The 22,049-nt window shown below is 44.6% G+C and overlaps 1 protein-coding gene across 3 annotated transcripts in view; it reads left to right on the plus strand.

Moving 5' to 3' along the window:
- RNF8 (ring finger protein 8) overlaps positions 1–21,295 on the plus strand; it is a 40,752-nt gene extending 19,457 nt beyond the window's left edge. For 2 of the 3 annotated variants that reach the window (NR_046399.2, NM_003958.4), the window contains exons 5-8: positions 1,181–1,270; positions 3,487–3,594; positions 7,711–7,915; positions 17,303–21,295. Coding sequence is in view for 2 of the 3 variants with exons in the window: in NM_003958.4 (NP_003949.1) it covers positions 1,181–1,270; positions 3,487–3,594; positions 7,711–7,915; positions 17,303–17,319 (420 nt within the window). In the remaining variant the exon portion in view is untranslated. The remainder of the gene's footprint in view (positions 1–1,180; positions 1,271–3,486; positions 3,595–7,710; positions 7,916–17,302) is intronic. The other variant, NM_183078.3, reaches the window with a different exon arrangement.
- Positions 21,296–22,049: the final 754 nt, after the last annotated feature.

A 22,049-nucleotide genomic window follows, 5' to 3' on the forward strand; every position in this document is an offset into this window, starting at 1 on the left:
TCTGTCACCCAGGCTGGAGTGCAGTGGTGCAATCTCAGCTCACTGCAGCCTCCGCCTCCTGGGCTCAAGTGATCCTCCCACTTCAGCCTCCTGAGTAGCTGGAACCATAGGCGCGCGCCACAATGCCCGACAATTTTTTTGTATTTTTGGTAGAGATGAGGTTTCACCATGTTGCCGAGGCTGGTCTCAAACTCCTGAGCTCAAGCCATCCACCCGGCTCAGCCTCCCAAAGTGCTGGGATTACAGGTATTATGAGCTACCACGCCCGGCCATATTTTCCCATTTTATAGATGAGAAAGTTAAAATACACATATCTAATTAGTGTGTCAAGTTGAAGACCCAGGCCTTTTGACATAACTGCTTTTTTTTGTCAGGAGATCACACATTTTAAAATTTGGTTCTTGAATAATATCTTTTCAAAAATACTTACCTTTACTCCACCTTCTTTTAAAAAGAATTTGAGGTGAGATTCTAAAGTATAAGCTATACTTAAGCATGAGAGAACTCATAAATTATGTTTCATATATGTGGAACCTCTTGACATTCAGCATAGGCATTTAGTCACAATGAATGAGCTGTTAGCTCCTGGGTGTGCCTTCTTCCAGAAAACACTGGCAGGGTTCAGGCAGCATTGTCTGAGCATGTAATATGTGATTTGTAGAACAAATAGGTTAAAAATCTTTTTTATTTCAATAAAAATGACTATCTAATTCTGCTGATTCCCATTTCCTCCTGATTATTTCATAAAAGCTGCTTCCAGTTCTGAATAGCTTTTAATTACTTACTAGTTCTTAAATACTGTTCCCAGAATCACTTGGGTGGCTTTAAAAAAAAAGAAAAAAAGAAAAGCACATTTCTGGGCTCCAAGCCAAACCTATAGAAGCAGACTCTGGGACACAGTGAAAGTTCTTCAGTTGACTTGGATGGCCACCAATGTTGGGTTAGTTTTAGAGGCCCTAGTCCATTTGGTGGCCGCCTTCCCTAACTGCCCTCTCCCCTGAAAAAAGCAGCAGGTAGGTAAGATAGCCCAATGGAATAAAGGTATTATTTTGAAATTGCCAATTTATCGATCCCTGAACCACAAAGTCACTAACTAGAGGGAGAGAACAGGCATGTTTGTGGCTAAAAGGAAGGATGCATTGTAGTTCATCCTGAGTATGTATCTGCTATGTTTTTGCAGCATTGGGCTCTAATGGAAGAGCTAAATCGCAGCAAGAAGGACTTTGAAGCAATCATTCAAGCCAAGAACAAAGAATTAGAGCAGACCAAGGTACTGGAAAGAAGATGGAAGTTTAGAATTTGGTTAGTGCATGCAACTCAGCATTTTCAACAGTGCAAGGGTTGCTAGGGAAAATAAAGAGAGAAATTATGGCTGCTCCTTGCCTCTGGGGAGATAATCTATAAAATTATAGAGGCCTATAGCAGGTTCTGCCTGTCAGACAACATCTATTTCCTTCCCTTGTTCAGAAGCAAAATGCTGGGAATAAGGCACTTGCATCCTGTATTCTAGTCCTTTGTCTATGGTGGGTACTCCTTCAGAGTGTGTCACTGATACAGACTGAGGAATATTGTAGTCAAGAAATAGTTCCTCCTGAACTATGTAATTTGAATTACATAAAGTAAAGTGAATTACTTAATGCAGTTTCTTCCCATGTCAAATCAGGAGAACTCTTGAATTAGGGGTTATAAACTTAAATGCCCACCAGGGCCAGACTGGTAATCAAAGTGAGTGAAGTGGCCTGAATGTAAGAACACAGTAGGGAGCTGTGCGGGCTATGGCTTATTGGATGGGGTACTTGCCCACACCCCCATCCCAGGAGGCAACTCTTCTCTGCTCAGCCAATTGTTGCCATCCAGAAGTGCAGGCCCAGTGTTGTCAGATCTTCTGATTTTTCCACAGCAGATGAAAGTCCAAATGTTTAAGTGAAATATCCCAAATTTTAAATATTGGCAACAACTTCAGCTTTTTGTGTGTGTTTTAATATGAAGGCCAAACTAAACAAGTCTGCAGGGTGGATCCAGTCCACAGGCCACCAATTTGCAACCTCTGACTTGAAATTAATACCTGAGTCTGACTGCATCTGTCATCCCACCCCCTCCATGTACCAACCTAGAACTGAAGGAGGGACTTGTTTTAGCTGGTTTGATTTCCTGTTTAAATCACATAATACCTTCCTCTCCAACCTCCAAGAAACTGCCACATCTTTTTAAACCCAGTGATTCATAAGTTCTCAGGGAATTTGACTATGGTTAGAAATGGGTCCAGACCTTCTTCACTGCCCTAAGCAGTCTGCCAGTCTTTGCTTTGAGTGGAAAAGAAAATAAAACAATTAAAAATGAGCCAGCCACTCAAATATACCTCAAATGGCCTATCCTCTCCCCCTCAGGGGCTCTTAATGCTTTTTGTTTTGGGGGTGAAGTGCTAAAATAAATGTCTGCTTCAAGAGAGCATACGTAGGAGCCTCCTTAAAAAGTGTGTCCACACGCAGTCTGACCTCTTGGGGAAAGCCGGGGAGATGGTACTGCAGGCCTCTGCAGGAGTGGGAAGTGGCAGGTATCATAGAGCATGGAGCCTGAAGGTAATTCAAGAGGCCTGTCTCCAGCCTTCTGCCTCCAGAGGTGTACCTTACTTTACAGAAAAGGCAGCTGCAAAGAACACAGCAACTTTATAACTAATTCAAGTTTCCTGCCTCTGGACTATTCATGCCTCTTTTCTTGTCCAGTGAGTTTTTAATTGTTTGGGATAATCTTATGTAATGTCTGAACTACAGCTTGCTATAAACTACTTAATGTCCCATCTGGTCTTGGGTGGTTGGTGTGGTTAGTATGTCACCTGCATTTTTCTCATTTGATTAATTTTGGGGAAGGAGACAGAATTTGCAATGCAAATACTGAAAAAGTGGTGTTTTAGTCCATTCAGGCTACTACAAAAAAGACCCATAAACTGCGTAGCTTAAAAACAACAGAAATTTATTTCTCACAGTACTGGAGGTTGGGAAATCCAAGATCAAGATGCTGGCATGTTTGGTGTCTGGTGAGGGCTGTCTTCTGATTCGTAGATGGAGTCTTGCCATGTCTGTCCCTATATGGCGGAAGGGGCAAATGAGCTCTCCTTGGGCCCCTTTAAGGCCACTAACCCCATTTATGAGCATGGAGCCCTCATGACCTAGTCACCTCCCAAAGGCCCCACCTCTTAATACCATCACGTTTGAAAATAAGTTTCAACATGGGAATTTGGGAGGAAGCACAAACATTCAGACCATAGCAAGTAGGGAGAGGAAAGAAAGGAGGTTAGTGCTCTGTATTAGAAAACAATTATTGAAAAACAATAAGCCTTAGGGAAAGTGTTCTATTCTTAATGTTGCTGCACCAGAATGAATCACTCATTAAGACTGAATCCTCTTCTAAATAATTGACCCTGCTCCCTGTCCCATTTTGCATTTTTGTTGGTTCTCTGAATGACAGGTAGGATTGTGTGTCTTGCAGGAAGAGAAGGAGAAGATGCAAGCACAGAAGGAAGAAGTTCTTAGCCACATGAATGATGTGCTAGAGAATGAGCTCCAATGTATTATTTGTTCAGAATACTTCATTGAGGTAATTATGAACAGTTGCTCACCCCTTCTTTTTTTTTTTTTTTTTTTTTTTTTTTTGAGACAGAGTCTCACTCTGTCAACCCAGGCTAGAGTGCAGTGCCACAATCTCGGCTCACTGCAACCTCCACTTCCTGGGCTCAAGCAGTTCTTGTGCCTCAGCCTCCCAAGTAGCTGGGTCCCTTACAGGCACATGCCACCATGCCTGTCTAAGCTTTTGTATTTTTAGTAGACATGGGGTTTTGCCATGTTGGCTAGGCTAGTCTCGAACTCCTGACCTCAGGTGATCTGCCCACCTCAGCCTCCCAAAGTGCTGGGATTACAGGTGTGAGTCACCACACCCAGCCGACCCCTTCTTATTCTCCCAACCCTGAATGAAGCCTGGGCTACACAGGCTGCTTCTACTATAGGGGAACATTCTGAAGAGATTTTCTTCCAGGAACTTATAACTATTTGATTTCAAAGTCACCTCTAGAGATGACCACCTCTTATTTGTTTTTATAATCTTCTTTCCCTTCACTGTCCTTTTTTGGCATTTCATCTGTTCTTAAATGTTTATTTGGTATGATTAACATTTTGAGCTGCAATGAAGCCTTTATCTCTTTGTTGTTGAGGAGAAAACAGGGCCAAATTAGATTTTGGAAGTATCAGAATAAAGCTGCTCAATAAAAGCTATTCTTTCTTTACTCTGAATGGGCACTATGCCGAGAATATGCTTATAGTGCAACCTTTTAAACGAGGGGGTAAACGTCATTAAAATGTGGTCACTTTGGGAATTTACGGCCCAAGTTGAATATATTTCAGGGACTCTGAGGCTCCTTATGGAAATGAAACCTCTACCATTTGTTAGCCTATCATATTTTTGCACTGGCTTATTTATTTATTTGACAAATTCTGCTGTTTGTGACCAGTTCACCTTAGACCACAGATGTTAAATTCAAGTTGCTAAATGACAGTGCTATTCAGACTCCTTTAAAAAGAAGGCCAGGTGCAGTGGCTCACACCTGTAATCCCAGCACTTTGGAAGGCCAAGGCAAGAGGATCACCTGAGGTTAGGAGCTCGAGACCAGACTGGCCAACATGGTGAAACACCATCTCTACTAAAACTACAAAAATTAGCCAGACATGGTGGTGTGTGCATGTAGTCCCAGCTAGTCGGAAGGCTGAGGCAGGAGAATCACTTCAATTTGGGAGGCGGAGGCTACAGTGAGTCGAGATCACGCAACTGCACTTCAGCCTGGGTGACAGAGCAAGGCATGAAAAAAAAGAAAAAGAGAAAGAAAAATGTAGGCCGGGTGCAATGGCTCATGCCTATAATCCGAGCACTTTGGGAGGCCAAGGTGGGCGGATCACCTGAGGTCAAGAGTTCAAGATCAGCCTGGTCAACGTGGCAAAACCCCATCTTTACTAAAAATACAAAAATTAGCCAAGCATGGTGGCATGCACCTGTAATCCCAGCTACTCGGGAGGCTGAGGCAGGAGAATTGCTTGAACCCAGGAGGCAGAGCTTGCAGTGAGCTGATATCGCACCACTGCACTCCAGCATGGGTGACAGAGCGAGACTCCGTCTCAAAAAAAAAAAAAAAAAAAAAAAGAAAAACATATACACACAGCTTTCTTTTCTCAGGTGATCTTTAGGGAAGTTGGGTCTGTTAGCCTCTTGAAAAATCTCTCCTGGGCAGAACTGTTTCTTTTCCTCTGGGTCCGTTTGGACTTCAGATCGTAACTTCTCCCATAATTTCTAGTCATCTGATTCTCTACTTTGGAGAAGTTCTATGTTGTTTTGACAGGGCTTATGGACTCTATAAGAGGAAGACAAGGAACGGGGGTTGAAATAAATGATGAGTTAGCCAACCTGGAGCATCTGCAGAGACATATAAGACATAAACAACTTGACCCTGTGTTTTGTTTACAGAATACTGTCTTATCTACTCTACTGGTCACCTCTTAAAATTCGTCTCAGAAATATGTTTTATTTTATTTATTTATTTATTTGTTTATTTTTGAGACAGAGTCTCACTGTGTCACCCAGGCTGGAGTGCAGTGGCGCAATCTCGGCTCACTGCAGCCTCCTCCTCTTGGGTTCATGTGATCCTGCCTCAGCCTCCGGAGTAGCTGGGACTACAGGCACCCGCCACCACACCCAGCTAATTTTTTTGTATTTTTAGTAGAGATGGGATTTCATCATGTTGGCCAGGCTGGTCTCGAACTCCTGACCTCAGGTGATCTGCCTGCCTCGGCCTCCCAAAGTGCTGGGATTACAGTGAGCCTGGCCAGATGCTTCATTTTTATCAGATAGGTTTTCAGTACTGTTTATGAGAGCTTGTCTCATGTAATAAACACAATGTTTCCTAGCTTCTGTGCTCAACTTGGCATTTGAAAAATATGTAATATCTGTGTTATTTTGCACTGTTATCCTAAGAGCAGGAATGAGCATTTTTGAGCCTCAGAAAAAGTTGTATCTTAGGAGATGTACATAAACAAGAGTAACAAAGAAAAAGGTTTGTATTCTTCTGAGTGAAAAGGGCTCAGGCAGAAATTGACCAGAGGGATTACTCAGAGGAGCCCCACAAATACAGGCTTCCTTTTGCTTTCTCTCTTCATTGGCACATTACTTAGATATTCAGGCGTTGTCAACGAACCCACTACATTTTTACTTTTTTAGTTTCTTTTTTTGCCCAGCATTTTTAGTTGCCTTCTATATTATTTTACTTTTTTAGTTTTAGAGATGATGTCTTATATAATTCTGTATACTTAATATTTAGTATGTGTTCCCTTTCATATGTCAATTAGCAAGACATAAATTTGTTTTTCTTTTTAAAAAATTTGTTTTATAAAAGCATCAGATTGGTGGAAAATAATACTTTTTATTGTTTGTTTTTGTTTGTTTGTTTGTTTTTTCCAGACAGTGTCTCACTCTGTCGCCCAGGCTGGAGTGCAGTAACGCCATCATGGCTCACTGCAGCCTCTAGCTCCCAGGCTCTAGTGATCCTCCCACCCCAGCCTCCTGAGTAGCTGGGACCACAGACTGTGCCACCATGCCTGGCTATTTTTTTTTTCCTTTTTTTGTAGAGATAGGGTTTCATCATGTCTCTCAGACTGGTCTCAAATTCCTGGGCTCAAGCAGTCCACCTTCTTCAGCTCCCCAAGTGCTGGGATTACAGGTGTAAGCATTCACGCACTTAATAGTCCTACTCATATCCAATAACATTTTGTTTGCAAGGTGGCCAGCCCACATTGGGAGTGTGGTCTAAGTTGGTGGACTGAAAAAGACAAATCAGCCTGCCTGGAACCTGAGTCTGTGACCTTAACTTTAAGAAAAGAATTGTCTAACATAAAGCTTAAAATTTCCCAACCCAGGCCGGGCTTGGTGGCTCACACTTGTAATCCCAGCACTTTGGGAGGCCGAGGCGGGCAGATCACGAGGTCAGGAGATCGAGACCATCCTGGCTAACACGGTGAAACCCCGTCTCTACTAAAAATACAAAAAAATTAGCCGGGTGTAGTGGCAGGCGCCTGTAGTCCCAGCTACTCGGGAGGCTGAGGCAGGAGAATGGCGTGAACCCAGGAGGCGGAGTCTGCAGTGAGCCGAGATCGCGCCACTGCACTCCAGCCTGGGGGACAGAGTGAGACTCCGTCTCAAAAAAAAAAAAAAAAATTCCCCAACCCTAAAAACGATTTCTGCCTCTGTCACCCTGGCCGGAGTGCAGTGGTGTGATTTTGTCTCACTGCAACCTCCATCTCCTGGGTTCAAGCAATTCTCGTGCCTCAGCCACCCGAGTAGCTGGGATTACAGGTGTGCACCACTGTGACTGGCTAATATTCGTATTTTTAGTAGAGACGAGGTTTTACCATGTTGCCCAGGCTGGTCTCAAACTCCTGACCTCAGGTGACCCACCCACCTTGGCCTTCCGAAGTGCCAGGATTACAGGCATGAGCCATCATGCCCGGCCCAACCCCAAGAATGATTCTGATACTCTTTATAAGCCCTTAAGATGGGATTGTTGTTAATTTTCCATTTGGCCTTTGAAATTCACTCCTGTCCTAACTTTGAGATCACAAGCATCCTGAGAAAGTAAGCATGAAAGTTCTGATATGTGTGTCCACATTCCTACTGTAGGCTGTCACCTTGAACTGTGCCCACAGTTTCTGCTCCTACTGTATCAATGAATGGATGAAGCGGAAGATAGAATGCCCCATTTGTCGGAAGGACATTAAGTCCAAAACGTACTCTTTGGTTCTGGACAATTGCATTAATAAGATGGTAAATAATCTGAGCTCAGAAGTGAAAGAACGACGAATTGTTCTCATTAGGGAACGAAAAGGTGAGTGGGTGTGAGAATTCCTACCCCTCAAGAAAGGACTTATTTACTTCCAAACTTCAACAAATATTTTTGGAAAGAGAAAGAGTCAGATAAACAATTCTTGAACTAGGGAAGAGATGGAATAAATGGGGAGGAGTAAAGGGAGTTAAAGATAATGCAGGAGAGGAAGAGTTGAGATAGAATTAACCGCAACTGTTACTTGAGCAGCAGGGAAGTGGGAGGCTAAGTATGTGTGCCTTGGTTGTGGGGGGATAAAATGAAGATGTGATTTAAAAAAATACACACAGTCAGACGTTTTGCTGTACCAGTCACTAGATGGTGCTGTTGTCAAGACACTTCAGTTGCTGTCCAGGTGTTGAAAAAACCTTGAGTTAAGTATACAGTGAGTTATAAATAGGATAGTAGGGCCAGGAATCTGATGCTGACTTGCAAGCACCTGTGGTTTGAAACTGGCCCTCTGCTGGTCAGCCAGAATGGAGGCAGCAGGCTTGTCACAGAGGCTGAGCAGGACGTGTGTCTGAGCCTCTTATGCCCAAGGAAGACATTCTGACCTGTGGGAGGGCAGAGTAGACTTTGAAAGCTGGTTCTTTGGAACTGAAGTTTTACCACTTTACTAACAGCTGTATGCTACTGGGTTTTGTGCCTAAATTTAAGCCCCCACAGATTTTCACTTCCAAGAGCTACTTGATCTGACAGAATCCCATTGTTCTTCCTTTTCACCTCCCATCACTCCATAAGCATTTACAGGAATACTACACTAGGCATCAGGAGAAAAAGTTAAATAAGACATTATCTCAGCCCTTACGGCACAAACAGTCTGGCGGAGGAGATAGAAAGGCAAGTAGATAGTGTGATGAGTTCCTTATCAGGGTGCTATGAAACTTCAAAGGAAGGGACACACCTGATTTGGCCTGGGGAGGTGCAGGTATGGGAAAAAGCTTCATCAAGGAAATGACATTTGAATGAGCCTTAAAGGTTCCCTAGGAGGTTAGCTTTCTAAGGAGAGGCAGTAGCACAAGCAAAACACAGAGGCATGAGAAGCAGTGACCTGTCCTGCCCCAGTTCCCAGTGTGGCCCACACAAGACATAATATTCACATGATGTCAAGGCTTAGAAAGTATCTACGGAGGCTTTGTGAATTTTTTTTTCTTCCCTCTTTCCCTTTTTGAGAGGAGCAGTGATCTGGGAATCCAGATTTGGCCAAGATCAGCTGAGTCGGGGGACGGGGTTGGGGGGTGGACCTAGGGACACCCATGGGCTTTCTTCGCCCAGTCTACCACCTAAGTTCCTTCCCTGCAATCTAAGCATGGCAAATGGCTTCACAAAACATCAGGGAAAGAAAAGGCTGGGCACGGTGGCTCATGCCTGTAATCCCAGCACTTTGGGAGGCCAAGATGGGCAGATCACGAAGTCAGGAGTTCGAGACCAGCCTGGCCAACATGGTGAAAGCCCGTCTCTACTAAAAATACAAAAATTAGCCGGGCGTGGTGGCGCACACCAGTAGTCGCAGCTACTCAGGAGGCTGAGGCAAGAGAATCGTTTGAACCTGCAGAGGTTGCAGTGAGCCAAGATCGCACCACTGCACTCCAGCCTGGATGACAGAGCGGGACTCTGTCTCAAAAAAAAAAAAAAAAGGAAAGAAGGGCCCTGGGCCCTGTGTCCTAAGTTTACGTCTGACTCCTATTACACAGAGTTAATTCTGCAGAGTAATAACAGATCCCCCTTTTCTCTCCAAAGGCTAAAGAGGGTGTCTCTCACTTTTTTGGTAACACTAGGGGGCTACACAGTAAAATGAGTTAGCTTCCCTGTTACATGCATTGGCTGGGAGCACTTCTGGCACCCATCTTGGTTTCTGTAGTTATCACACTGAATGCAGCTTTGAAGTTTTCTCTAGAGACAGACAGGTTTTCTGAGACCTGATTTAGGGAAAGACATGCCAGAGCTATCAACAGCTTCACTGGGTTTAGAGAAAATTCTCAGTTTAAATACCAACCTTCCTTCCATATTCCAAGGCCAATTGAAAGCTGGTTTAATCCCTGTTGCATGGGAATTTTTAAAAAGGACCAAATTTAGGATCTGGAAACTAGGATTGGCAAGCCTGTAATTGTCAGAGTCCCATCACTGCAGGCCCTGGAGCAGGAATTGCTCTTATAAATTCAGAGGAGACCTGCCTGCCTGTGGCCACAGGGTGTTGCCCATGCAGACATGCCTGTATTCTGATTTCACCAAGAACAGCCTCACTTCTAGGCCTCCTGGGCTGGTTATTGAAGTTTCATATGTTAGTGGGAGGAGTAGAGTCTCATGACTGATTAGCCATTGATCTCTTGTGTGAGACCAGAGGAGAGGAAGAGGATGGGAGTGTTAGGATGCTGGGTCCTGAGTTGGAGATGGATGCTCTGGAGCTAGGACAGATAACAGACATTCAGTAAGTCTTGTATCATGAGTCACTGTGGCTCTCTGGGATATTGACATGAGATTTTTTCTGAATGGAAAAGTTTTTTTGAAATCCCCTATAGAGTATCTCCCTCTGGAGCTGGTGAGGTGAGAGAGCAGTCTTCTGTCAGCTCCTCCCCTCCCGTTTCTTCTGTTCTCATTCGATGTTAGTTGGTTGACAAGAGTGTTAAAACTCTTCTGTTTTGCTTTTCCTAGCGGTTTCTTTGGGTTGTACTCAGAAAAAAAACAAGCAATGTAGAAATAAAATCTCCTTGGTCCTTTAGAACAGTGATTTTCAACCAAGGGGCTTTTTCAAACTACATTCCTTAGCTCCCTTGCTACTATTTTTTTTTTTTTTTTTTTGAGATGGTGTCTTGCTTTGTTGCCCAGGCTGAAAGGCTGAAGTTTAATGGCGCAATTTTGGCTCACTGCAACCTCCCCCTCCCGGGTTTAAGTGATTCTCCTCCCTCAGCCTCCTGGGTAGCTAGGATTACAGGTGCATGCCACCACGCCCAGCTCATGTTTGCATTTTTAGTAGAGACGGGGTTTTACTGTGTTGGCCAGGCTGGTCTCCCAACTCCTGACCTCAGGTGATGTACCCCGCTCCGCCCCCCAAAGTGCTGGGATTACAGGCATGAGCCACTGCGCCTGGCCCCTTGCTGCTGTAATAGTGAATTGTGGCTACTAGTGAGAGTGTGCCATGGCCTTCACGTGTGCTGAGGTGGGGAGAGGCATTTGTGAACTATTGTGTGAATCTGTGACACAAAGACCCCTCCAGAGGTTGGGGGTGTCTGGGGAGATGGATCCAGGTCAGACCACATGGCCTGTATCTCTTGCCAGCTTCTTATAGGCTAAGTAGAGGGTGGACCTAACACAGGGCAGGAGAAACTGGCAAAGCCCAGGCTCTGAAGAGTATCCATCAGCCCACCTGTAAGGCTTTCCCTGATATTGCCCATCCTCCTTTGCTGAAAGACAGCCTTTTAAAGGGATGTTTGAAGGAGTGGCAGCAGTAATCCTCTCTCTTCCAGAGAGAATACTTATTAGCAGGTAGTTGTAACCTACTCAGTCCTGTCCCTGGAGAATCAGGGTCATTTGCAGGAAGTTAGCATTTCTGCCTGCCTTGTATAAGACAGTGTTTGTCTAAGGGAAAATGGATCTTGGCAAGGTCAGGATGAGGCGGGAGTGTCCACATGCTTGTACTCAGATAGTATATAACACTGTATTCTTAAGATTTTTTTTTTTTGAGATGGCGTTTCGCTCTTGTTGCCCAGGCTGGAGTGCAATGGCGCGATCTCGGCTTACCACAACCTCCGCCTCCCGGGTTCAAGCAATTCTTCTGCCTCACCCTCCCAAGTAGCTGGGATTACAAGCATGTGCCATCATGCCCGGCTAATTTTGTATTTTTAGTAGAGATGGGGTTTCTCCATGTTGGTCAGGCTGGTCTTGAACTCCCGACCTCAGGTGATCCGCCCACCTCTGCCTCCCAAAGTGCTGGGATTACAGGCGTGAGCCACCGCGCCTGGCTCTTAAGATTTTTTTACTTTAAACAATGTATGCAGGGCGGGTGCTGTGGCTCACGGCTGTAATCCCAGCACTTTGGGAGGCTGAGGGGGCGTGGATCATGAGGTCAGGAGTTTGAGACCAGCCTGACCAACATGGTGAAACCCCATCTCTACTAAAAATACAAAAATTAGCCGGGCGTGGTGGTGCACACCTGTAATCCCAGCTACTCAGGAGGCTGAGGCAGGAGTATTGCTTGAACCTGGGAGGCTGAGGTTGCAGTGAGCCGAGATCATGCCACTGCACTCCAGCCTGGGCAGAGTGAGACTTCGTCTCAAAAAAACGAAAAAGAAGAAGAAAAGAAAAAGTATGCTTTGCAAAATTGTAATGGGATAGAACAAAATTGTAGTGGGATAGTAACATTATTGTTACTAGAAGCTTTTTAATTTCTCTATCACCACTTCCCTATTCATCTCCCTTCTTTTTTCCTTCTCTTCTTTTGTGTCCTAGTATCCTTCCTTATCATCAAAATGTAGTTTTTCCTCTGTTTAATTTCTTTCCTTTGTCATTTTTTTTTTTTTTTTTGAAAAAGGCTGGTGTGCAGTGGCATGATCACGGCTCACTGTAGCCTTGGCCTTCTGGGCTCAGGTAATCCTCTTACCTCAGCCTCCCAAGTAGCTGGGACCACAGGCATGTGCCACCACACCCAGCTAATTTTTTGTATTTTTTGTAGAGATGGGATTTCACCATGTTGCCCAGGCTGATCTTGAACTCCTGAGCTCGAGCAATCCACCCGCCTCAGCCTCCCAAAGTGCCAGGATTACAGGTGTGAGCCACTGCACCTGGGCTAATTTTTTTCCCCTATCACTCTTATTGGCACCTCAGAATACACAGTTTGAAATGACAAGGGCATCATAGGAACTATTCACCTAGTGAAACTTAGTAAAAGTCTGCTGTGGGATTAATTGGACTGTATGGAGTAGCAACCCAGGAAGACCTAGAACCTTGAATTCTTTATTGTCTCTGTAATCCTTGTGATTTCCGAATGGTCCTTCCATCTGGAGGTCAAAAGGCTGTTCTGTGCATTTGTGCTCTGTGGTAGAGTGTCTTCTCCCTTTCACCAAAAGCTACTACCGCCCTGCAGGCACCCGGAAAAGTTTTCACAGCTTAGGAGAGTGGCCTTCCTAGATGCTATTAATCATCTTTCAGTACACCCTAAATGTATGGAAGATTGAGTTTGAGGGAACCATGCATGCCAGAGTTGAGAGATCCAGGGCTGACTTTGACTGCTGGGCTACAATAGCTTTAAATACACCCTGAGGAGTCCAATGCAGGAGAGTCAGTGACTCCAATGAGCCCTGCACCATGTTGCACTGAAAGTGAAAATCAGTGGTTGCTGGCCATGGTGGGATCCCATCGCTGCTGGAGGCTGCAGCCCAGCTATCAGCCCACCAGCCTAGCTTGTCCATCAGGCTGGGAAAAGGGCCTGGAGATGGAACATGAGCAGTTCTGGCCATCTCTGGTGTTTAGCAGGAGACACTTCAGATTGTTCATTGCTATTTCCCACAGTAAAATTTTCTCCTGCCCTTTTTTGATTTTTAGTGATAACACAGTTATTTTGGCCCTCTAAAAAATGGATCCTCTTTCCCTCCTAACGTGTAATTTTATCATTTTTCATACCTACTTCCAGGAATGTCTATTGTAGGAGACTACCTGTGCAAATATAGAGTAGCGTCATTAACCAAAGCAGCTTTTCTTTGAGTTTCTTGGTTAACCCTAGATGAACACTGAGTATTTTTAGAGCAAGCTCAAATAAGTTGATATTCTATGAACTAATCATAGAGAATGGCTGATTATACCTTATCAGCTGGATATATATTCTGTCCAACTGCCTACTGCTATGGTTCTTAAGAAATCTGATATAACTAGACATGCTCCTTTTCCTGGCTAGGGCTTCTACTTCAGTTACTTTCTGTATCCTGGAGAGTTTGGACTGCTTTTACACTTGTCTCATTAAACTTGAGCCAGAACCAACCCCAAAGAAATATCTCTTACTTGCTTCCTTTCTTCTGGGTCTTTCCTTTTTTTCTGTCACCCAGGCTGAGTGCAGTGGCATGATCTCAGCTCACTGCAAACCTCCGCCTCCTGGGCTCAAGCATCCTCCCATCTCAGCCTCCCTAGTAGCTGGGGCTACAGGCGTGCGCCACCATGCCTGGCTAATTTTTTGTATTTTCTGTAGAGATGGGGTTTCATTATGTTGCCTGGGCTGGTCTTGAACTCCTGGGCTCATAGGATCAGCCCACCTCAGCTTCCCACAGCGCTGGGGTTATAGGCATGCGCCACCACGCCCAGTCCTGGGTCTTTCCTTTTTCTTAGCACCTACTAAATGCTAAGTGCTTGGGGATAAAAGCAAAGAGGGCATGTGCAGTCTCTCCCCTCATGGAACTTTTGCTCTAAGTGCAGGCCCTAGGTTCCTTATAGTAAAGTCCTACAATATGAGAAATAAAGGGTGCTAAGTCAAGGAAAGGCTTCCCTGAGTCAGTGAAGGACATGGAGTGTATTTTAGGTGAAAGGACAAGAAGCAAAAGCAAGGGGTTTTTAGGGGCTGAGAGAAGTACAGAGTGCTAGAGAGAATATTGAGCATTCAGCCTGGAAAAGTTGGCAGGACTGGGTCATGCAGGGTGTTACAGACATGTTGCAGAGTTAGTCTAGGGGCAGGGGGAAACAGAAGATATGAAGTGGAGATCTGACTGTTGATGTTTGTGTTTTTCTGGATAGGTTAGTCTGGCTGTAGTGAAGAGACGACATGGTGCTGGGAACAAGAATAAAGGCAGTAATCATGGCCAGTGATGATGGTGGCTAGGTTAGAGAAGTAGCAGCAGGGATGGCCAGAGTGGATAGATTCAAGAGGTAGTTAAGGAGGTAGAATCCACAGGTCTGTGGGACTGATGTGCTGTGGGGACTGCAAGGGAGCTCAGATCATGTCTAGGTTTCTTTCTATTGGGGCACCTGAGTTGATGATGATGCATTTACTAAAATAGGAGTAGTTGGAGCAGACAAATTTAGTTTTCAACTGGAAAGTTTAAGGCACCTGAGGACATCAATGGAGCTGTTCAGTGGTTATTTGAATGTGTGGATCTGGAGCCTGAAGGACAGGCCAAGTTGAGATTCTAGGTTTGGGGATCATGAGCCATGGAAGTGGATGAACCACTGTTACCGTCTCTGTGGTATTAAGAGCCAAAGGGCAAGTTCTTAGCCATGAGAAACACCAACATTAGGGGATGAGTAGTAGAAGAGGGGCCTGCAGGGCAGACTGATGAATGGCCAAAGAGAGAGATGGAAAAAGAGGGATGTGGGGCAGGGATGTGGGGCAGGCAGAGCTGGCACATGCCTGTCCTCACAGCTACTTAGGAGGCTGAGGTGAGAGGATCACTTGAAGCCAGGAGTTCAAGACCAGCCTGGGCAACATAGTGAGACCCCCATCTCAAAAAAAAAAAAAATTAGGCATGATGGCATATGCCTGTGATCCCACCTACTCAGGAGGCTGAGGCTGGAGCATCCCTTGAACCCAGGAGTTTAAGTCTCCAGTAAGCTGTGACTGTGCCACTGTACTCCAGCCTGGGCAAAAGAGCCAGACCCTATCTCTTTAAAAAAAAAAAAAGACATTACATGGTGTCCTTTGAGCCTTCCTGGCCACACTCTTGTCTAGGGTAGATCCCCCTCATTACATTGCCCTATATTTCTTTGAAAGCATTTACCAGATTGAAATAATATTTGTTAGTGTACTCTTGCCTCTAGATTTCCGAACTCCTTGAGGGCAGGAATTTTATCTTTCTCCTTGTAGTATTTTCAGGGCATTGAAGAGTGTTTGGCACATGGTAGCTCTTCAGTAAATATGTGTTTATGAAGAGTTATAAAGTGAGAAGTCAGCGTTTGAAATGCTGCTGAGACATTAAACAAGATAAGGATGAAAAATTGCCCATTGAGTATGCAGGCATGTGGGATATCGGTGACTTTATCTAGTATAAGTTGTGGGGGATGGTGGAGTCAGAAGTCAGTTTACAGTGATTGGGGAGTGAGTATGAGGTGAGGAAGTACAGAAAGAATAGATAACTTCTTCACAAAATTTGGCTGTGACTAAGATGGGGAGGACCACCACCAAAAGAAGGCTGTATTTGGAGGAGGAAGTAGGGTGAAATGGGGTTTTTGTTGTTTTTTAAAGACGAGATTTGAGCATGTTCCATTGCAGATTGAAAGGAGCCTGTACAGAAGGGCATGCTGGAAAGCCAAGATAGCAGGTAGGGCATGACTCGTTGGAAAGCAGGGGAAGACAGGGAGTACAGAGCTCAGAAAGCAATTAGTCTTTAAGAGGAGAAGTGTGCATTCTTTGTTTTATAGAAAGAAGAGTATCGTGGGGGGGTGGGGCAAGGAAGTTTGCTTGAGGGGTGTCCAGAGAATTTCTTTCTTGTGGCTTCTGTATTCTTCTGTGAGCTAATAGTTGAGGCTGTTAGCTAAGAGGGAGGGAACCCTACTTGGTTCTCTCTCTCCAAGGCTGAGGGCATGCCCAGCCCCAAGGCCCACCACCTCAAAGGCTACCCAGAAGTGGGAGACGAATAACTTCTGTAGTCCTTTCAATCCCCCTAACAAAGCATTCCAGAATTCAGTCTCAGAGAAAGGGGACAATTTGGTTGGTGACTTTATTGTGCCTTTGGCATAGGCCAGGATTCCCACAAGGAAGCGGACTATTGGAAAAGCCTGGAGGCTAGTAAGTAAACAGCCTTTCTTGTCCCCTCCCTCTCTGAACACAGGAAGAATTCCCGCCTCTCCCTGCCTATTCCTGTATATAATTCATTCCTTTCTTTAACATCTTTAACAGATATATTGAGGGCCAGATTTGTGCTAGGCACTGTTCTAGATGCTGAGAATGTAAAAAGTGAAAATCTAAGTTAGATGTAATTAATGCTATGGAGAAAAATCAAGCAAGAAGGGGAGAAGGGGTGATGGTGAAAGCCTTGGCAATTCTTGATAGGGTAATCAAGGAAGGCACCTCTGAGCAGGAACTATTTGAGGGAAGCTCTGAAGGAGGTGGCCATGCTGCCATGTAGGGAAAGAGGGAATGGTAAGGGGGAGCATGCTGGTATGTGGGAGGGGCAGCAAGGAGGCTAGTGCTGGGGAGTGGAGTGAGCGCTGGGGAGTGGGTAGGAGAGGAAGCTTGAGCAAGACGCAGATTTTGTAGGGCCTTGTAGGCCTTTGAAAGGACTTTGACTTTAACTCACTGTGAGAGGAATGAGGAGTGGGCTTTGAGCAGAGAGTGACATGATCTGACTTCTGTTTTCTCAGTTCGCTATGGCTGCTGTGTGAGGAAGAGACAGGGTGGCGAGGCTGGAAGCAGGGAGTCCACGGAAGGGAAATACAGGCTCCTCATTTATTTATTTCTCTTCTTTTTCTCCAAAGCAAAGAGATTGTTCTGAAGACCGTGCTCTAAGGGCATTTGAAAGACTGCCAGGTAGTGCGAGCCTGAGATGGTCTGGAGGATTCTCTCTAGCCGTGACTCCGCTGCTCTGAAGGTCAACTGAGAAGTCTTGTGGGACAGAGACTTGAGTTAGGAAGCCCTCAGTCACTTGCCTTCCACGGTGGCCAGCCCTGCTGCCATCATTGGCTGAAGCACCACCAGGATTCACGGCACCCAACTGCTTCAGGGTACTTCGTAGACTCTGCCTCACTACATGTCGAAAGAGTTATTTGAGTTCTCTTCTGTTTTTTTTTAATTTGTTGTTGTTGTTACTGTTTTGATACCTCGGAAACACCTCCGTTGACAGTTGTTTTGGATAGGTTGGGTGTACCCCATGGCTGCCTCTGAAGGCAGTGTCTATTTTGAGAGGATGGCTTACCTCTTCTTTGTGAAAATACTATCTCATTTCCTGGAAATAAAATGTAAAACCTGTCAGTTGCTCAGCTGGGCTTTGGTGTATTTACCTTCCTTCCCTTCCTGCTCCCAGACAGTCTCACAAGTAAACACCAGCAGCTCATAGATTACAACCAAGAAAGTGACTGTATCAGATGATAGACTTCAAGTGAATGTCAGCCTAAGAGGCCAAGCTGCAGATCGTGGCAACAGATGAGCTCTGTTAACCTCCTGACTGTCGTGTTTCCTTTTTATTACAGAGGTGGGTCACTGTTTACCTTGTTTCAGGGGTGGGAGAAACTCCTTTCCTTCAGCTGGCATTTGAATGTTTCCAAATCTATTTTATCTGACGTCATGAACACACAGGCAATGATTTTATGACAACTTGATGTGCTTTTTTCTTTATTTTTCTTTTACATTAGAAGTTTTCTCTCTTTTCTCCACCTCTCCTTTATTTTTAATTTTAATTTTAATTTTTGAAACAAGATCTGACTCTGTTGCCCAAGCTGGAGTACAGTAGTGCAATCTCAGCTCACTGCAACCTCCACCTCCCAGACTCAAGCCATCCTCCCACCTCAACCTCCCAAGTAGCTGGGACTACAGGCATATGCCATCACACCCAGCTAATTTTTGTTTTTCTGTAGAGACAGGGTTTCACCATGTTGGCCAGGCTGGTCTCAAATTCCTGACCTTAAGTGATCCACCTGCCTAGGCCTCTAAAATGCTGGGATTACAGGCGTGAGCCACCACGCCCAGCCTATACCCCATGTATTTTCATAAAGGGTTGGAAACTATTGATTGCCAACTTTTTAAGGATGGTAGGGATTTTTTCTTTGTTGAATATACTGTGAATTTTGGGATTCTGGAGTCCTTAGTCTTCATTTCCATTCTTCTGCCCATGATTACTGATCAAAATACTGGTAGAGTCATGGAGGAAGTAAGTTAAATGTGGAAAAAATGCTTTAAAAGTACTTACTATAACCACATCATAAGAATTCTGGAAAAATAGAGAACAAAAGGAAAAGATTGTTACCACCTTGATTTAATAACTTCTTGTTTCCCCATACATGTGTTTTGTTTATAGATTGCATGGGTATATGTCAATTTTTATATGTTCTGTGTTTAGTTTACATATTGTAATTCATTTTTAAGAGAGTACAGACATACACTTTTTGAGTAGGCAATATGTTCACATAGTTTGAAATTAAAGGTACAAAATGGCGTAGAATGAAATGCCTCTCACCCTTTCCCCACAGCGACTACTTCCCACTCAGAGGCAACAAGTATTACAGTTGCTTGTATATTCTTCCAGAGATCTCTGTCTATACAAGCAAAAACACATGTGGTCTTTTTCCTTGCTTTGCACAAATGGTAAACTGTACGCTATTCTGAACCTTGCTTTTTTCAGATATATGTTGGCAACAGTTCCATGTCAGTACATAGTTTCCTTTCTTTATTACAGCTGCCTGTTTTTTCATTGTGTATTTGCACCATCATTTACTTTTCTGGCTTACTTTTGATAGAAATCTAGGTTGGTTCAAACCTTTTTACTCTTAAAACAATGCTGCAGTTAACACCCTTGTACATATATCTTTAGAGAGAAGATATTTTAAAAAGAAATACCTTTTTAAAAATTATTTTATTATTTTTTAATAGAGACTATGTTGCCTAGGCTGGTCTTGAAATTCTGGGCTAAAGCAATCCTACCACCTTGGCCTCCCAAAGTGCTGAGATTACAGGCATGAGCCATTGCACCTGGCCAAGAAGAGACATCTTGACTTGAGCCTGAAGACTATGTACAGAGACTGACCTCACAGACTGACCATTCCATCCCACAGCTGCTGGACATAGAGTGATTTGCAGCCCCTCCTTTCAGAGTACCACATCCCTCTCAAGTGTTCCACAACATCTAGGAAAGTGAGCTCTTAAAGACAGACTAAAAAGAGTAATAAATCAATACAACAACATTAAAAGCCAGACTAGCGGAGTTTGAATCTTGGCCCTGCTGTTAGTAACTGTGTGAGCCTTGGGCAAGTTACTCAGCCTCCTTGTGTCTTGGTTTTGGTTTCTTCATCTCTAAGTAATTATATCTGTCATTATTGCCCTGATCACAAACAAAAGCCTGAATGTACTATGTTTAAAAGACAAACCAAAAATTAACCCAAACTTGCATTATTTGTCTGAGCTACAGAATGTTCTTTCCTTGGAGAGATATCTGATATTAAACATCATCTGCATTTTACTTGCCTAGAAAATACACGGTAACTTTTCTGCCTTGCAGCATCAAACTATAGTACAGCTGAGCCCCAGTGCTGTGCAGTCTGACTCTAATTAAAGGCACCTTCTTTACAGCAGGGCTCTGGGGAACTGGAAAAGGGGGTTTGTTTCATTATCTGGTTTTATTAAGCAGATGAATGCAGCCAGCTATATGAAGCACTTTGCAGTGAATGGCAGGTGTCCCATATCTGGTTATGTTAACCTAGAAAGGGCTCACTCTACCTCTAGGCATGTTTCATCCCAACAATCAGACTGTGCCAAAGCAGGGGACTTTGTCCTTTGTGGATTGCATAGCTGGATACCCATCATCTGTTTCTCTGATTGGAAGCTGCTGTTGTACAGAAAGACCTGCATTTCCCCCTTGTCTCCAGTTCTCTCACTACTTTTTCCTCCTCTGTGAGTGACCATCCAGGCAGTCACCATAACTGCTGGAGTGTCTGGGATTGGTAGCTCTCTCCAACTGCCTGCTTGCTCTTTACAGCCTCTCTCTGTGACTGGAATCTCTCCACCTCATCGTATCTAAGGATAACCCAGAAACATGGGGTGTCCTAGGTATGTTTATCTCGACACTGAACCCCCTAGGCTTCTGATGAATCCAGTGATTAGCTAAATTTGACATAGAAAGTAAGAAGGAATGTCTACTTTGTATTGTGGTCCTAATCTAAGATCAGGAGAATCCTGGAATTGTTATCTGTCTCTTGCTCTGAGATACAGACTTGTTCATAGGTGTGGGGCCTGATTGGAACAGGATCTGCCATTGGTCACAATAGGTCAAGGGCTTGTTCTGAACCCTAGTTAGCTTCATTCAGAGAAAGAAACTTCCTACCTGGTCAGCTTTTTCAGCTTCTCCAACAAATGGGAGTTGAGGCAGTAGGAGTGTGGGGTTCTTGGGAAGACGATGGGGCCTTGTATTAAGGAGAAATAATGAACTATCTTCTTGATTCTTCCATTGAGAAAAGCATATGAATCCTAGGAAAGGGCTCAGCCTGTGATAGGCATTCAATAAATACTCCAATGCTGTCATTCCTTTGTCTACAGCATCCCCAAACAATGTACCAGTGATGGGCTACCTGAGCTCATCTAGTCGCCAAGCAGTATCTCCTGCTTGCTGCTGCTTTACTACATTCCAGATGCCCACCTCATCCAATTTCCAGAGCCACTATCTCTGCTGTCCACTTTCCTTCAGGCTCTGTGAATACTTCAACCTGCTGTGATTTGGGGCCGTTTGTACTCTGCATGTATTCAATAAATTCAATTCAGCAATAGTTATCAAATGCCCATTTTCTTACTAGGCACTGCTCTAGGTGTTTGGTATGGCAATGAGCAAAACACAACCATTGTGAGCTGATGTTCTAGAAAGGTGTCAAAAGCGTTTCAAAGGTTTTATGAGATGCTGTGGGAGGGGGTTACGCACTGCTACCTACTGAGGTAGCAATGTTGGGTGTTTCCTCACATTCCTCAACCTCCACGCAGGAGATCCAGCAGGCTACGCTGGCCCATCCCAAGATCCAGAACTGGCGTTTCACATCTCTAGGACCTGGGTAGCCCAAGCCTTTGCAGCCTGCTGCTTTTACCACCACCCACCGGCCCTCAGGATGTAGGGACCAGTTCCTTAGAGATCAAGCTGTCCTGGGCCTCTACCCAGCTCTACCCAGGGGCCTTCAAGGGCATCTCTGTGGCAGGTTTCAGGGCAAGTTTGGCCTTTTAGCATGGAGAATAGGCCCTGAAGCACCACATACCACTGTCCTGTGTAGGCAGGCACCCAGGAGACCTCTGTGGAAGCCTCAGGTACTTCAGCCAAGGTAAGCACAGATGAATGTTTCTGATGCAAATATTGGCACCAAACTTAACCTAGTGGTGGATGGGGCTGGACAAGTTTTCAGGACCATGAGCCTTTGTGAGTTTCAGCCTGGCTATGAGGGTGCTCTCCTGATCTCAATTCCTGCCCGTCTTCCCTGGGCCTCTCCCAGTGCCGCCCTGGCTCTGCAGCTGATGGTGTGCGTCTCTTCCCAACTCTAC

The sequence above is a fragment of the Homo sapiens genome, chromosome 6, assembly GCF_000001405.40.
Source record: "Homo sapiens chromosome 6, GRCh38.p14 Primary Assembly".
Lineage (NCBI taxonomy): Eukaryota > Metazoa > Chordata > Mammalia > Primates > Hominidae > Homo > Homo sapiens.